The sequence below is a fragment of the Homo sapiens genome, chromosome 13 (genome assembly GCF_000001405.40).
Source record: "Homo sapiens chromosome 13, GRCh38.p14 Primary Assembly".
In the NCBI taxonomy this organism is placed as follows: Eukaryota; Metazoa; Chordata; class Mammalia; order Primates; family Hominidae; genus Homo; species Homo sapiens.
Genome location: NC_000013.11, coordinates 19390152 through 19408250, shown reverse-complemented (window position 1 = coordinate 19408250; position 18099 = coordinate 19390152). Strand labels below are relative to the sequence as shown.

The 18099-nt window shown below is 40.8% G+C and overlaps 1 pseudogene; it reads right to left on the bottom strand.

Moving 5' to 3' along the window:
* PARP4P2 (poly(ADP-ribose) polymerase family member 4 pseudogene 2) overlaps nucleotides 103-18099 on the bottom strand; it is a 59018-nt pseudogene continuing 41021 nt past the window's right edge.

Sequence of the window (18099 nt, the reverse complement as noted above, 5' to 3'; positions counted from 1 at the left end):
ATTGCCCTCCAGTCTGAGCAACAAGAGCAAAACTTTGTCTCAAAAAATAAAAAATATAAAAAATAAAACAACAACAACAAAAAATGAGACAGAAAACTGAAATATTTTAAGTTTCATTATTGCTTGTTAGTTGATTAAAGTAATTCTGCTTCCACTTTATTTTTAAAGACACTAATTGCTACACTGAATAAAACCTTAATGGAGTTTCATTGTAAGTATCTATTATCGTTTGATTATTTTCTACATAGAAGCATGCAAAAAGTTTAAAATTCAGTTTCATTTGATTTAGCCTTGACTGTAATGAAGGACTCTATGAAGAGGGGACACAGTGCTTATGGGCTGGAGTCCCAGCAACTGCTTGGTGGCAGAGTCCCAGTCGTTCCCCAGTTCAAGCCGTGGGCAGATAGATGGGTACTGTCCTTCAGTTCTTCTTACCCATTCACTTGCTTGCTTTATTGCCTCAAAAGCCCAGGGAATATTCCTAGATTAAAAAAAAAAGTTTCAGATTTCAGAATATAACATGTGAAATGTAATGTGGTACTAAACCCATCACATTATATCAGACAAAATGATTCTGCCAAAAATTAAGATATTTAATAAAAGCAGTTTTCCTTGGCATCTTACGGAAGTTCTTCTGCCCGTCTCACCTGAGCTTATGCACTGCATTGTCAAGTGTCCTGTGCCCGCCACCTCCTGGCTTCCACGTGCCTCCAGGCATCCCTGCTGCCTGCAGCACAGCTCACGTTCCAGCCTCTCTACAGTTGTTTATGGTTGTCCCCTTTCCACGCTTCTCAGTCTAAATCCTATCCATTCTTCACGCACAAACTCAAGTACTATTTCACAAATGAGGCTTCTGTTTCTCTCTCCTTCCCACTGTACTGACTTGATTAGGTACCTTCAGAATATCTGAGAGTCCCCCATGAAACTGGCATACATTCAGTTGTGTCACGTAAATCAGGAACAACTTGGTAGAATAAGCATATCGAGTCAAGTCTGTGTCCACTAAATGGTGTCAAATATTTGAGACTGTTGAATATTCAAGTCTATTCAACACTCAGAAAAATTCTGAGGTTGTTCATTAATATTAATTAGCTACTTCCTCATTTGTTCTGTCATCTGCTAGAACTTGTTAGTGAACAAGTGGCAACATACACCAAAGTTCTTCAGAAAATTCTATGGGGAAACTTAATATTTTGAAAATTCTCTCCCTGTTCCTGATTTTTCCCTGTGAACTGGGAAAGGGCTGTCAGTATAGCGTGATGGTGAAGAGCTGGGTTTGAGTCCTGACTCTGCAATCACATGATATTGGCCATGTGATACTGTGTGGCTTTCATTCAACACTGGGAATCTCAGTTTCCTCAATTATGAGAATAACATGAGGTCCTATGGGTTTGTGGTGGAAATCAACAAAGCTTATAAATTTAACGTGCTTACTAATCCCTGGTACACAGTAGGCACTCAATAAATGTTCACTGAATGTCATGATAGAATGAACATACTAAATAAGAAGCATGCCCAAAGTGTTTAAAAGACCAACATTTCCTGGTAAATGTTTGTCTACTGATAGTTACTGACTGCTGAAAACGACAAAACTGGCTCTGAATATTTTCACTGATTGAGCCGGCCTCCTTTAGTGCAGTGGCCTCTACACTTTTTGGTTCACATTCCACTAGTAAGAAAATCTTGTGCCCACACCCCCATGTAATGCACTCCTGCATCAATGTTACGTACATCCTGAAATAGAAAATACAGAACAAAGTTTCAAACATGCAATAAACAGGAAATAAAAAATATTTAATTTTTTTTTTTTTTGAGACAGAGTCTCGCTTTGTTGCCAGGCTGGAGTGCAGTAGCACAATCTCAGCTCACTGCAACCTTGTGATCTGCCCGCCTCAGCCTCTCAAAGTGCTGGGATTATAGGCGTGAGCCACCGCGCCCGGCCTGAAATCGTATTGTCTTATGTCCTCAAGTGCCAGCAAACCATTTTGCCAGCACCATAGCAGTAATGTAGCAAGAGCTATATGCTGGAATATACTTGATCAATTTTGAAAATCTTGCTTTAATACTTTGTGGTATTACAGTTCAAAAGCAGGTTCAAAGTTTATACTTGTTCTAACAGCTATAATATTACTAATTAGGAACAATATAAATAGAATAACTACCTCTTTGGATGTGCCTATTAAGTCAAATACTAATTTTTTAGTCCCATCCCCTAGCTGTTCAAAGTGTTTTTTCTTTGATATTTATTTAATTAATTCTCTCGGCAAGTGGCACTGGTTTATTTTCACTTGAGGCCGGGAGTTTGAGACCAGCCTGGCCACCATGGCGAAACCTCATCTCTACTAAAAATACAAAAATTAGCCGGGCACGGTGGTGCGCACCTGTAATCCCAGCTACTCGGAAGGCTGAGGCATGAGAATTGCTGGTCTTAAACTCCTGGACTTGGTCTTGCTGGGCTCAAGTGATCAACCTGGGAGGCAGAAGTTGCAGTGAGCCGAGATCATGCCACTGCACTCCAGCCTGGGCAACAGAACGAGACCCTGCCTCAATAAATAAATAAATAAAATAAATAAATAAATAAATAAATAAATAAATAAATACAAAAAAAAGAAAGCCCCCCAAATAGAAAAAAGAATAAATTCTCATCTTCCTTGGCAAACTAATGAGAAGGTATTGCTTTTTAAAAAATGGAAGTATAAATTACATATAGTAAATTATGATTCTCCTTTTTTTTTTTTAGACAGGGTCTCACTTTGTTGCCCTGGCTGGAGTGCAGTGGCACAATCACAACTCACTGCAGCCTTGGCCTCCTGGGCTCAAGCAATCCCCCTCACCTCAGCTTCCTGAGTAGTCACACACTACCACACTCGGCTAATTTTTAATTTTTTTTGTAGAGATAGGGTCTTGCTATGTGGTCAAGGCTGGTCTTGAGCTCCTGGAAGCAAGCAATCCTCCTGCCTTGGCCTCCCAAAGTGCTGGGATTCCAGGCGTGAGCCACTGTGCCCAGCAATGACTGGGTAATTAAAAAAAGTTTTTTTGTAGAGATGGGGGTGTCATTGGTTACCTAGGCTGGTCTTAAACTCCTGGGCTTGATCTTGCTGGGCTCAAGTGGTCCTCCCATCTCAGCCTCCCGAAGTGCATGGATTACAAACATGAGCCAATGTGCCTAGTCCAGAACTTCCTGAACACCTGTTTTGTGTTCGAGAACTTTTTCTTAATCATTACACTTAAAAAATTGTTATCAGACACGGTGAAACCCCGTCTCTACTAAAAATACAAAAAAATTAGTCAGGCATGGTGGTGGGTGCCTGTAGTCCCAGCTACTTGGGAGGCTGAGGCAGGAGAATGGTGTGAACCTGGGAGGCAGAGCTTGCAATGAGCCAAAATTGCGTCACTGCACTCCAGCCTGGGCGACAGGCGAGAATCTGTCTCAAAAAATAAAAAATAGTTATCAATATTTCTCTAAATATCATAAAATATCCAGGTAGTGTTTAATTTTTCCTGTCTCACTTTTTTAAATGCAGTGGGTTTTGTTCAAACCAGGATCTAAACAAGGTCTACCCTTGCTTTTGGTTGACATGTCTCTAAAGGTTTATTTACAGGTTCTGCTCCTCAAACCTTTTTTTCTCTTGCCATTTATTTCCCCACATTCCAGACTTTGCTGACTGCATTTGCATGGTGTCACATATCATGTTCCTCTATTCTCTGATCTAATTCAAGTTTAGAAATCAAGGGGTTTCGTTTAACTTATTTGATTTTATACATATTGGTTTCTAACAATATTAGTATCTACCTTCCAAAATAACAAATCAAAAGTGTTATTAACACCATGGCTACTCCCAGTGAGATTTCTTTGTAATATTTTTTAATCCTTAGGCACTATCCCACTAGGGGATTTGACATAATTTGACACAGTCAAATTATTTACTATGTTGTAAAGTCACCTTAAATTAATTCCCAGGCTGGGCATGGTGTCTCATGTCTGTAATCCCAGCACTTCGGGAGGCTGAGGCAGGAGGATTGCTGGAGTTCAGGAGTTCGAGACCAGCCTGGGTAACATGGTGAAGCCCTGTCTTTACAAAAATTACAAAAATTAGCAGGGCATGGTGGTGCATGCCTGTAGTCCCACTTACTCAGGAGGCTGAGGTGGGAGGATGGCTTGAGCCCAGGAGGCGGAGGTTGCAGTGAGCTGAGATTGCACCACTGCACTCCAGCCTGGGCGATAGAGCCAGACTTTGTCTCAACAAATAAATAAATAAATATCAATCTTATCCGTTATTATGTAAAATATTTACATAGTTCCAAAGTCAAAACTGCAAAACAAAGCACACTAGGAGAAACCTAGCTTCCATCTTTGTCCTCTCTACCAAACCTCCCTCACAATAGTATTTTTATTAGTTTGATTAGTTTTCCCCTTATCTTGCCTTTAAAAGAACATAAGCCAATTACATGTGTATGTATATGTGTATATGTGTATGTATGTGCATATGTGTATGTATATATTTATATATATACATGTGTATGTGTGTATGTATGTGCATATGTGTATGTATATATTTATATATATACATGTGTATGTGTGTATGTATGTGCATATGTGTATGTATATACTTATATATATACATGTGTATATGTGAATGTATGTGCATATGTGTATGTGCACATGTGTGCCTTCACATACATGTGAATGTATGTGCATATGTGTATGTATATGTGTATATGTGTATGTATGTGCATATGTCTATGTATATGTGTATATGTGTATGTATGTGCATATGTGTATGTATATACATATATATGTATGTCAGAGGGATCCTACTCTGGTCATGCCCCTCTCGCCATGGGGTGGAGGGTCTGTAGGGACAAGAGAATGTGCCCACCCCGGAGCCCATATCTTCCTTTTTAGACCCTGCAACTCCAGCGTCCCTGACCACATGGCCCTGAGTCCACTTCCAGGGTCTTCCCTGGTCTGTCATCCTGAGTTTGAACAGTGCTGCCATCTCACTGGTGTTACAAGGTGGCTGGTGTGAGGGGGCACTGGCATGGGGTCTGGATGGCATTTTGATGGGTGGGGTGGGGTATTCACGTGTGCAGGCAAGGCCTCTTAGGGTGCTGGGGGTCAGCCAAGGGCTGAATTTGAACCTGGCCTTCCAGGTGGTTATGAAGTTGTATTTGCCAAGGGAGGAGATTAGGACACACTTAATCTAATAGTTTGCTAGTTTGATTTACAACTTTTTAAATACTTGTATTGTTATAAACTATAAAGTTATAAACTTTAAATACTTGTATTGTATTCTTGTCCCAGGCCCTGCCATTGTTGGGAACAGGGCTGGGCCCAACAGTCACACTGTGGGTCTTCTGGAGGCACCCAGGATCAGCAGACTGCTGTGAAGAGTACCACAACCAGAGCCAGAAGCGCCGGGCTCCAGGGGGAGCTGCACTGAAATTCTTTGAGCCCATTTCCTGTGCAGGCCAAGGCACAAATACCACATCAGCCCTGCCCGCCACAGGAGACTGTGGGCAAGCTGTCGCCTGCAAACAAATTATCTTCCTACATACTTATAAAGTAGCCTACACATGAAAGATAATTCCCTGTAGCTTGTTTGTAAGGTTTATTAAATAAATAGTTGAAAATATAAATAAGTTCCTTAATACTATAGTTAAAGCCACCTGGAAATAGAAGCGTCATCCAGTTCCATCAGTGATTTGAACACTATTCCCGTTTTTTCCAACCTGGTGCGAATAAACTGTAGTATCGCATTGTGGCAATTAGGTCCAGGAGATGTTCTCTTCCTTTTACACCTAAAGGGGAAAAAACTCCGTTAAGTCTGTTGGAAACTCTGCATCTCAAACTGCCTGTTTATAAAATTCCCATTAAAGAATTATAATACGGTTAAATCACAGGACATGAGCAGATCGTGAAACTCTCTAATACTCTTCAAGGTCCTTAATTAGCTTGCTATTTAAATAAATGAGGACAGTTGGAACCGTGTGCCTATCACACTATCCTGATGGTTGTCAGGAAACTGACCTGTATCCAGAGTGCCCCTCGCTTGCCATCTTCAATGACCAGTGAGCCATGAAGTGCAATGAAAGAAACCCAGTTTTTAGGCTCCTGTTACAAATAGCTTGGAAGAGTAAACCTAAATATTCAACAGATAAACAACAGTTATGACCAGTTACACTGGTGTATCAAATTATTTCTAGTGGTTAGTACCTACAGGTATCCTAATCAAGATATTTTACTATATTATGAAATATCAAAATTGAAAAATGAATGTTTACATGTGTTGAACTCAGAATTAACAACCCATTTTTATTTTAAAAATACAAGCTTCATTTTTTTTTTTTTTTTGAGAGACGGGCTCACTCTGTCACGTTGGAGTGCAGTGGGTGTGATCAGAACTCACTGTAGCCTCCAACTCCTGGACTCAAGTGATCCTCCTACTTTGGCCTCCCAAAGTGTTGAGATTATAGGCATGAGCCACAGCACACAGCCAAAAAATGGTTTTAGGGAAGAAAAAAAAAAAACCAAATCTTTGTCTTATAATTAAGAATATGCAATTACTTTTTTTTGAGTAAAGACAAAAGGACCTGGCAGAGTATGCACATATCTGCATATACACCATTAATTTTACATCATTGAGGTAGCCAAAACTGCTCATAAGAGGGCTTTTATTAAATAATATAATGTTCTTAATAGAGGAAAAAGGGATTGAATAAATTTTTAAAAACAAAATAAGAAAACTAATACATTGTCCCACAAAAGAAAATCAATGGAGACAAAAGCAGTTTAATTTGCTGGATTCTTTTGTGGCTTATTTTTTGGGTATTATTTACAAAATGTTAGACTAATTTTTAAGCAATATTAATAATAGCAACATACAACTCCAAGAATAATATAATAAATAATAAACTGATGAAATGCCTAATGTGTATCAGCGTCATTTAAAAAACAAATTCAGAAGGAGAAGGGACGATAAAAGAGAAATGAAGAAGAGGATAAAAGACAAAGTTGGATACAGAGATATAAAAACAAGTCAGAGAAAAAAATCAGCTTGAGACTCTACGTAGAGGAAGAAAGAAAAGCACACGCTTACAGAAAAATAACATGGATAATAGGGAGTAATACAGTGAAACACAGGAAAAGCCCATGGAAAAGGTACATCCATGAAATCCCATCCCCTTGCATCTGTGATTCAATTTTCTCCAGTTTTCCTCTTGTTTCTCAGGCCACTCCTTCTCAGCGTCTTTGCTGGTTCTTGTGCAGTCTGAACACTAAACCCTGCTGTGTGGCAGGCTGGTCCTAGCACCTGCTCTGCTCAGACCACCTTCTTTCTTTGGGTGACCTCATCCAGTGCCAGGCTTTAAATACTACTGACATTGAGAATTCTCCCAGTCTTTTCCAACTCTGACCTCTTCCCTGAGCTCTAGCCTCACATGACAATATATTTATCTTGAATTTTTATCTCACTCTGTCACCTGGGCTGGAGTGCAGTGGCACAATCATGGCTCACTGCAGCCTCAACATCCCAGGGCTCAGGTGATCCTCCCACCTCAGCCTCCCAAGTAGCTGGGACCATAGGTGCATGTCACCATGCCTGGCTAATTTTTGTAGAGATGGGGTTTCACCATGTTGGCCAGGCTGGTCTCGAAATCCTGGGCTCAAGTGATCTGCCCCCTTTGGCCTCCCACAGTGCAGGCATTACTGGTGTGAACCACTGTGCCCGGCTTATCTTTGGTTTTCAACAGTTTGACTCTGGCCTATCTAAATGTGGTCATTTTTGTATTTATTGTGCTTGGAGTTCTGCTGAGTTTCTTGGATCTGGAAGGTGCTGTCTTTGATCAATTTTACAAAACTGTTCAAATATTTTTCTGTCTACCCTTTCACTTTTTGAAACCCTAGTTACACAAATGTTAAATCTTTTGATATCATTCCACAGTCTTGGCTCCTCTGTTCTTTTTTCATTCTATTTTTTTCTTTCTATATTTCAGTTTAGAGAAGTTTATTGAGTACATTGCAAATTGAATTAAATGATTTTTTTCCTGTTGTGTCCATTCTGTTGTTAAGCTCATTCAATGACCTTTTCATTGCAGATACTATATTTTCCAGTTCTAGGATTTTCATTTGGTTCTTCTTTTTAGTTTCCATCTATTTGCTGAGATTCTGCCATTTATTCACCCATTCCATCCTTTTCTGGTAAATCAATCCTTCACTATATTTTTAATAGCAGCTTTAAAGTCTGTGTCTGCTAATTCTAACATCTGGGTCATCTGTGGGTCAGCATTTGTAGCCCATTTTCCCTTTGATCACAAGTCATATCCTGCTTCTTCATATGTTATTAAATTTTCATTCCATACTGAACATTAAAAATGACACCTTGTAGAGACTCTCAGCTATGCTATCTTACTCTAAAGAGTGTTCAGTTTTGTTCTGGTGGGTCCTGTGTAGGCTTTGTTTTAGGCTTTATTAGGATGGGTCTATTTTGGTTTATCCTTTTGTCCTGGGGCATAGTCCTTGATCATGAGATATGATCCTTATGACCCTTTTATGGCTTCAATGGAAAGATATTCATAAAGTCTCTCTAATTTGGTGCCACTTGAACTGTAAACTCTGGCCAGTACTAGGCAGCAGCTGAAATCTCTGCTTAGCTCTGTAGCTTCCCAGCTGTGGCTTTTTTCTGGATTCCTTGAGGTTGCACCCTGTATACGTAGAGGTTAGGAGACAGCCAAGAATCTGAGGGGTATTTGGATGCAGATTTCAGAGCTCCCTGCTCTGTGGTTCCCTACTTTATAGGATTTTAATCCTTAACTTCCAGCCACGTAGGCAACCTCAAACTCCAACCCCGTGTCCTCATCCCATTAAGACTTTCTGTTTTAGTTCAAACCTCCCACTGTGTCTCATGAGCTGAGAAATGCCTTTAGGTGACAAGCTGGATATATGTGGAGCCCACCTAGTTGGCTTGCTTTCTTTCAAAGATTATATTCACTCTAGTTTCTGCCTGTTTTTGATTATTCTCCTAGCCTTCAAAGAACGGTTTTAAACATTTTATTCAAAGTTAATAACTGTTATTGGCAGGAGAGTTAGTCAGATAGAGGCTCTTCTATTATTCCAGGATCAAGCACTCACTCCTCACGTAAATTGTCATCATCCCTTTTTGGCCTAGTGCAGGTCAAACAGGCTATGCATTTGCCCACCCACCCAGCCTGGAATCTGAAAACTCTGGCATTTTAGAGGTGATGGTGGCCAGTGAGACACTGCTGTTCTATCTATTCATGAATATTGGCTAGTTGTTTAATAATGTGTATTTTATTAAAAAAAATCTCCAGGCTGAGTATGGTGGCTCATGCCTGTAATCCCAACACTTTGGGAGGCCAAGGTGGGCAGATTGCTTGAGCTCACAAGTTCGAGACCACACTGGACAACATGGCGAAACCCCATCTCTACCAAAAAATACAAAAATTAGTCAGGCATGGTGGCAGGTGCCTGTAGTCCCAGCTACTCAGGAGGCTTAGGTGGGAGGATCCCTTGAGCCTGGGAGGTAGAAGTTGCAGTCAGCCGAGATAGTACCACTGCACTCTAGCCTGGGCAAGGGAGCCAGACCTTGTCTCAAAACAAACAAACAAACAAACAGCTCCTGTCCTAGGGCTAGCATTTGACCTTCAAACCACTTGCTGGGTCAAGGATGCTCAGGACTTCCTCATCTATCCCCTTGTTGTCATGATAGGAAACAGGTCCAGAGGTTGAACAACTGCCTCTGGCAGAGGCTGGCTAGGAGCTCATCAGAGCTCTTTTCTCCTCCTGGACACTCAGCTTAACAGTACATTTCTCAGGCCTTCGTACATGGATGGGGCTATGTGACTAGTATTCTTCCTCTTGTCTAGCAGGGGGATGATGCCAGGGTAATCTTTGTTCTTCTCTCTTACCAGGATAATTTTAAAGACATATATTGAAGATGGTGGAGCCACAGTATGGAAGGAGTCAAGGTCTCTAAATGACCACATAAGTGGAACTTTCTTCCTGACCAATATTTGACTGTGATATGGACAAGAAAGTAATCTTTGGTTATGTTAAGCTACTGAACAATTGGTGCTATTTATGCTAATAAGTTTGCACAGACAATACCCTAGTTAGTGGTAAAAATGTGACTAGAAGCCAATCTCCCATTTCCTTTAATGCTTAAATACAATTCCATTCAAATATAACTTTCATAATTATTACATTAGTACACTAGTTTACAAAATAGTTTATAACAGTTAGGAGCATGCTTATGAATGAATGAAAATAATGACTTAATAAATGGAAACATAGTGACTTACCTAGAGATTGAATGCCTTTTTGTTTAAGAAAGCTGTGCAAAGCATTTGTATTAAGATTTAATATAAATCCCAGTTCTGGTGTAAGTTTCCAGAAGCCATCCTACAAAATTAAGAAAACAAAGGTAAGTTATGTTATTGACATTTTATGACATAAGAAGTTATGTAGTGGGGGAGAGAGAGGGGCAAGGTTGAAAAACATATTTTCACTACTTGGGCAACAAGACAATTAGAAGCCCAAACCTCAGCACCACACGGTATGCCCATGTAATAAACCTGTACGTGTACCTCTGCATCTAAAATAAAATTTTAACAAATTAAATGAAAAAAGAAGTTATGTGATAAATATGTTTCCATGTATTGAATTTCAGTTAATTAAGGCATTTCTAACATTTTTATTACTGTAAAATAAAGTTCTTCATACACTAGTGACATAGTATTGTTTGGAACCTCATAAATGCTATGAACACTACATATCTGGTGGCATTTATAAAAAGTGTGGAAAGAGGCTCATGTGTAGAGATTTTTTTAAATCGTACTTTTTTTCTTCTAGCAATGCTTTATTTCATTTTTTATTGATACATAATACTCGTACATATTTTGGGGTTCACATGATATTTTGATACATGCATAGAATGTGAAATAATCAGGTCAGGGTATTTAGGATCTCCCTCAGCTTGAACATTTATCATGTATTTGTGTTGGCAACATTTCAAATATTTCCTTCTAGTTATTTTGACATATACAATGTCTTGTTAACTATAGTCACCCTACTGCATTGTCAACTAGCAATGAGCATTGAACTGGTATTTCTCAAACTTTTAAATAGCATGATTCCCTCTTTAAAAAAACCCCACTTTATTGAAATATGATTGGCATACAAAAAGTCACCAATATTTAATGTATACAACTTGATGTGTTTGGAGATAAGTATACACCCGTGAAACCATCAAACCATCACTTATCAATGCCATGAACTTAGCCACCACTCCCAGAACTTTTCTTCCACCCCTTTTGTTTTGTTTTGTTCCCTTTTGTGGAAAGAGTACTTAACATAAGATAGACCTCTTAGCAAATGCTTCAGTATACCATATCGGATTGTCAATCATAGGCGGTGTATTGTACAGTAGATCTCCAGCATGATTCCTTTTGTTTAACATAAAAATGTACCCTGATGTAGTCTGAAACATGAAAATGACAGTTTTTTCTAAGTACAAAATTGTTATATTAAACATGCACTTTAAAACTACCTTCCCTGCACCCCCCATCATCTGCCTGCCCCATCACATGCAGAGGAGAGTGTGCTAAGCCTGAGCTTGGGGATATTAACCTCAACGGAGACAGAATCCAGGCCCTAGGGAAACCAACACAGGGAGCAGAAAGCAGGGTGTGGCCCTAGGCAGGTGCACAGGTTGAAGGATCTATGGCAATAATTTGAAAAATGACAGCAGTGATAATGTGTACCAACCCATAGAGAACTGGTACCAGGTGCTGTTCTTTTATGTGTTTAGCCACTTCCTGTGGAGCATGATTTGTCACACCCACATTGCAGATGAGAACACGGAGGCAGAGAAAGGTTAAGCAATTTGTCTAAAGTCTCACAGCTAACAAGCAGCAGAGCCAGGAGTGGCCGTGGGATCCACACTCCTGACCATTTGCAGTATGCTCCTGGCAGGCTTTTGGGTGCACTGTCTCAAGTAGGGAAACTGGGCAGCTGTGATTATCCTGTTTAAACCCCAAACCCACTCTGTGAAGTAGACACTATCATTATCTCCACTATATGGATGAGGAAGCTGAGGCTCAGACAGGTTACCTGACTTGCCCCAAATCACAAAGTGGGCTGGGACTCACGCTTACTTTTATACTACATCAAGCCCTTTCCATTTCACTAAACTGCTTTACACCAAAACAAGTAATCACAGATGCAGGACTGGGTCTTAGTACCAGCGATGGGGCCAAATCTACAGGGTGTTTATCAGCTTAACAAATGGAGTGATAAGCTCTAACACAATCTACATGTTGAATAATATCTGTACTCCCATGACCTTATATGAAAATATTTAGAGTACAGGTGCAAGTGCTTGTGCTCTACTTCACAGTGGGAAATTTATGTGGATTACAATCCATTAGTTCTAGAATCTAGGAAATTAAGATCTCACCCCATCATCTGTTCAGAGATGTTCATTTTCACGTGAGGAATAGTAACATTCCCCAGCATGAGGTTCTGGTCTAATGTTGGTAGGGAAACACCAGCCAGCATCAAGCACACTGTTTTGTTCAGCTGTCTGTTTTGTTCTGTAGCAAGAGTTCCTCAGTGAAGGAAGCAGTATGATTTACACCCCAGTGCACAAGCCCCTTCCTTCACTACAGACTGACGATAGACAGTTCCTTGACCAGCTGCTTTGAGGAGCCCCGTTCTAAACTATGAAGCCAGCTAACCACAGATTTAAGGAGAAATAAGACACATACCTCTGTCTGTAGACTGAAGAGTTCAGTCCAAGGCACAGCATCCTGCCAGTGCTGTGTGCACACTATTTCATCCTCCTCTATTACCTCCAGAAAGCACGGGATACTGTTGTCTGTTGTATCACATTTTATTTGTAAAAAGCAACTGTCTAGAAGTACTTCTCATAGCTCATGACTTTCTGTTTCAGAACAACTTTGAAAACCATAGTCAGGATATTGACTTCCTTCGAGACCGCTTACTGATTCTTCCAGAAGACAGAGATCTACTGGGGTAGTCCAGGACTGACTGTAAAGAGGCTCAGGTAAGGCAGAGGCTATTGGCAGCCTCAGGTTGGCAGTCAAAGAGGCTGCGGAAGGTTGAAAATGAAAAGGAGAGGAAGCAGAGGGATGATAAGACCCAAAACCTCTGATGGGATCAGGGTCTGTAGGAAGAGAGAAATGAAGCTGGGGAGAATCCAGCTCAGGGAAGGTGCCAGCAGAAGGCCTGGTCATACGGCCTCCAGCAGGTTGCAGTGGAGCAGACTGTGTGGAGCTCAATGAGCTCCCTGAAAAAGTAATGCCACAGTAGGGTGCAGAAGACGGGTTCTGGAGAGGTCCTGTGGGACAAGACGCCAACTGTGGGATCCAGTCAGCACAACTGCCAGGCGCAGGGCCTTGGCTGAATTGAGATGCATCAAACCGTCTGGAAGGAGCAGCAAAACCAAAACTAGCTATCTGACAATATGAGGCAAAAGGCAAGGAAGCAGCATTGTGAGAGCGGGCAGCCGGGGAAAGAGAGGAACCAAAGGCTGGAGCAGAAACACAAAAAAGGCTAGAAGTAGATGTTTCCGGCCGGGCGCGGTGGCTCACACCCGTAATCCCAGCACTTTGGGAGGCCGAGGCGGGCGGATCACGAGGTCAGGAGATCGAGACCATCCTGGCTAACACGGTGAAACCCCGTCTCTACAAAAAATGCAACAAATTAGCCGGGCGTGGTGGCGGGCACCTGTAGTCCCAGCTACTCAGGAGGCTGAGGCAGGAGAATGGCGTGAACCCGGGAGGCGGAGCTTGCAGTGAGCCGAGATCGCTCCACTGCACTGCAGCACTGGTGACAGAGCGAGACTCCGTCTCAAAAAAAAAAAAATGTAGATATTTCCAGTGGACTTTCTTAACTTTCTTAAATAGTGGTTCAGTTGCTGTTGGTTTACATGACTCTGTCCAATTTAAATCCAATAGCTTTTCCACACCTCCACGTTCTAAAGTTGATGTGAAAGCTAGTAGTACACCTAAGCCATCCTCTTCAAAATCTTCAGAAACTTCTGGCTTAGATAATTTCATTTTTCTTTTAGCCCTAAATTTTGGTTTGGATGAACGTAATTCTTGCCACTCAGAGGACACTAAAAGAGGCTGCCCAGAAGAGAGAATTATTAACGTAAGGGGAAAACACAGAATAAAAAGAACAATCAAGCAAACATTCTTCCTAGCACTTGACTTCCCACCCATCAGGCAGTTGCTCATCCAGAATCAGGATCATCAATGTGAGCTGGGATGTTGAAAATAACACCAGTGCTGGGCGCGGCAGCTCACACCTGTAATCCCAGCACTTTGGGAGGCCAAGGAGGAAGGATCACTTGAGGCTAGGAGTTTGAGAACAGCTTGGGCGACACAGTGAGACTCCATCTCTACAAAAAATAAAAAATTAGCTGGGTGTAGTGGCTCACGCCTATAGTCCCAGCCACCTGGGAGGCTGAGGCAGGAGGAGTGCTTGAGCCTGGGAAGCTGAGGCAGCTATGAGTGCAGATTTGCACTACTGCTCTCCAGCCTGGGCGAGAGGGCAATACTCTGTCTCAAAAAAGATAAAAAGGAAAGAAAATAATGCCACTAGAGACATTCAAGATCATTTCAGTACAAGGCCCTTTTTTTCTAGACATGGAAGCTGAGACCTGGAGAGAATATCAGCAATCAATAGATTGAAAGACCTTCTTTCTTAGTTCTCAGAATTGTGGAATTTTAAACACCCCTCATTCTACACATGAGGGAACTGAGGAGCACAGAAGTGACTTGCCCAAGATTTTACAACAAGCAGTATCACAGGGTGTATGTTAGGCCTAAAATAAGATAGTCATTTGAAGTAAATTATTCTAGTCTTTTGTATTGCTTTACAGCAATATTAAGAAAATGAGAAAATGGAAAAACAGTCTTAAAAGCTTTATTTAGTTTTTTACTTATTTATTTTTTGAGACAGGGTCTTGCTCTGTTGCCTGAGGCTGGAGTACAATGGCACAATCACATCTCACTATAGCCTCAAACTCCTGGGCTCAAGCGATCCTCTCACCTCAGCCTCCCCAGTAGCTGGGACTGTGAGCATGTGCCACCACACCCAGCTAATTTTTAAATGATTCTTTTGTAGGGATATGATCTCGCTATGTTGATGAGGCTGATTTTGAACTCCTGGGCTTAAGTGATCCTCTCAGCTCGGCCTCTCAAAGTGCTAGGATTACAGGTGTGAGACTCTGTCCAGCCAAAAGTTTTAAGGTAATTAAATGAACATATAGTTATACCGGAATATGAATAATATGCATGCAAAACAAATTTTGAGGGATGCTATATTACTATTACTGTTTCAATCTAAATGGAAAGAGTGTTCCTCAAAAAGTTGCCTGTAGCAAATCCAGTTTTATATGGACGACAAGTCCTTGATATTTTTGAAATAAATAGCCTGTAATTTTACCTGTGAATATAAGCTATTTAAAACAGGAGTAGTCCTTTCCCAACTCAGTCAAATTTTAAGTATATACCTGAATAATTAATATTATAGAACATATGAAAAGACAGATTTAAAAATAATGATTACTTATCTGGTTAAATTTTTAAAAATCAGAGAAGCAAACTGGAAAAGACCAATGGTGATGGACTAGACCTATCGGATATTAAAGTCTCTTATAAAATTACAATAATTATAGTAGATGAATCAAGGAACAGAGTAGGTAAGTCCAGCAATAGCTCCTAAAACATGAAAATTACTAGATTATGAAGGTGGCATTTCAAGTCAATAGGAGGAAAAGGAATAGCCATCTGGAAAAGAAAAATGTTGGTTCCATATCTCTCATCCTGTGCCAGGATAAATTTCAATTGGATGAAAAATTGAATGTAAACATGAAAACATAACACTATTTAAAGAAATAAAGGGAAAAAATTTTAAGTATAATCTCCAACTAGGAAAGGTATTTCTAAGCATGATGAAAAGCAAAACAACACTAAACAAAAAGAAGAAACACAAGATTAAAAATTTGACTGCATTAAAAAATCTGCATGACAAAAAGATAATAAGCAACATCAGAATAACGTGGAATACTGGGAAACAAATTTTCACAACTCATATCACAAAGGGCTAATTTCCCTAACATAAAAAGTTTTCCTAAGATAAATAAGAAAACGACTAAAATCTCAATAAAAAAGATAAAAGACATGAACAGATAACACACAGGAAGTGATACGTAGGGCTGTAAGAATATAAAACATGCTCCTCTTCATTCATAAAGAAACAAAAACTTAAATGTCACCAATACATTTTTCACCTGTAAGATTTGCAAAGATCAAAATTTTATTAAGTCAGGTATTGTGGAGCATCCCAGCTACTCAAGAGGCTGAGGTGAGAGGATAACTGGAGGCCGGGAGTTCAAAGCTGTAGTGGTCTGTGATAGAGCCTGTGAATAGTCACTGCACCCCAGCCTGGGTGACAGTGAGACTCCATCTCAAAAAAAAAAAAAAAAAAATCATACTGAGAAATATGGGTTATTTTATGAAATTGCTTCTTGGATAGTATTTTTGTATTTTTTAGTAGAGACAGGGTTTTGCCATGTTGGCCAGGCTGGTCTTGAACTCCTGACCTCGGGTGATCCACCCACCTTGGCCTCCCAAAGTGTGGGGATTACATGTGTGAGCCACTGTGCCTGGCCTCGTCATGATTCTTCTATTTGCCAAAATCACCCACTTGCTTCCTCTTTCCCTTCAAGTTCACAGTTGCTTATTTTGCTTAACCACACACCCACACCTTGATCATCGAACGTGTGGCCCCCAACCTTTATGGCAGCAGGGACTGGTTTCATGGAAGGCAATTTTTCCATGGACGGGGTGGGACAGATGGTTTTGGGATGAAACTATTCCACCTCAGATCATCAGGCATTAGATTCTCAGAAAGAGCACTTAGATCCCTCCATGGGCTGTTCACAACAGGGTTCGGGGCTCCCATGAGAATCTACTGTCACTGCTGATGTGACAGGAGGCGAGCTCAGGTGGTAATGCTCACTCACTGCCCCCCACCTTCTGTTGTGCAGCCAGGTTCCTGACAGACCAGGGACTGAGGGTTGGGGACCCCTGATTTAAGGAACAGTGTGGGCTCTGGACCCCTAGCTTCCGTGCCCTCAATTTCTTGCTAAGAGTTATAGCATTGAATTTTTCAAATGATTTACTTTAAAAACTTGGATTAGGAGGTATGTTTTAAAAATGTCTGCCTCTCGCTTGTTCTCAATGTGCTTTCATGAGCAGGAGGGAACGAAGTGGACTTGGGGTTGGTGCAGAAGACACTGCGCCTAAGCCCAGGTGTGGCTGCGCGGGGGAGCGAGCACCCAGCACTGAGCGCTGTCCTTCCTGAGCGCGTCCCAGCAGAAAAGGTGTTGCGCTCCCTGGAGGGTCTCATTTCACAATGAAGACGTATCAAATAAGGAAATGCCCCAAGCTTCAGCGAGTCGGGAAGGACCAAACAGACCCGGATGTCCGGGCTCTATTGCGGCTGGCTTGTTACTGAATTCAGTGGAATGACTCCGTGCGGAATGCGGCAGGTGCCACATTTTGGTAAAACAGATACCGAGGGAGAGTAACAGAGGCTTGACATTTTTGCTAAATTACATGGTCCATTCAAAAAATTTATTGCAGCTAACATAAATATAAACTTTCAAGTCATCAAGCTAATGGATAATATTTTTCATCTGATATGTTTGGATCTGGAAGTATTCAGATCCAAAGTATTTGCAAATTTAGTATGAAATAATTTATTAGCACACTGTATTAAAACCTAAATTAATTTATAACTAATTTTGAAAATAACTTCAAAAATCTCTATAAACAGTCCAGGCATGGTGGCTCACTCCTGTAATCCCAGCTACTTGGGAGTCCGAGGTAGGAGAATCTCTAGAGCCCAGGAGGTCGAGGCTGCAGTGAACTATGATGGTGCCACTGCACTCCAGCCTGGGCAACAGAGTGAGACCCTGTCTCAAAAAAAACCAAAAATCTAAAAACAATACATGTGCACTATGAGAAAATTAGAAAATACAAGTA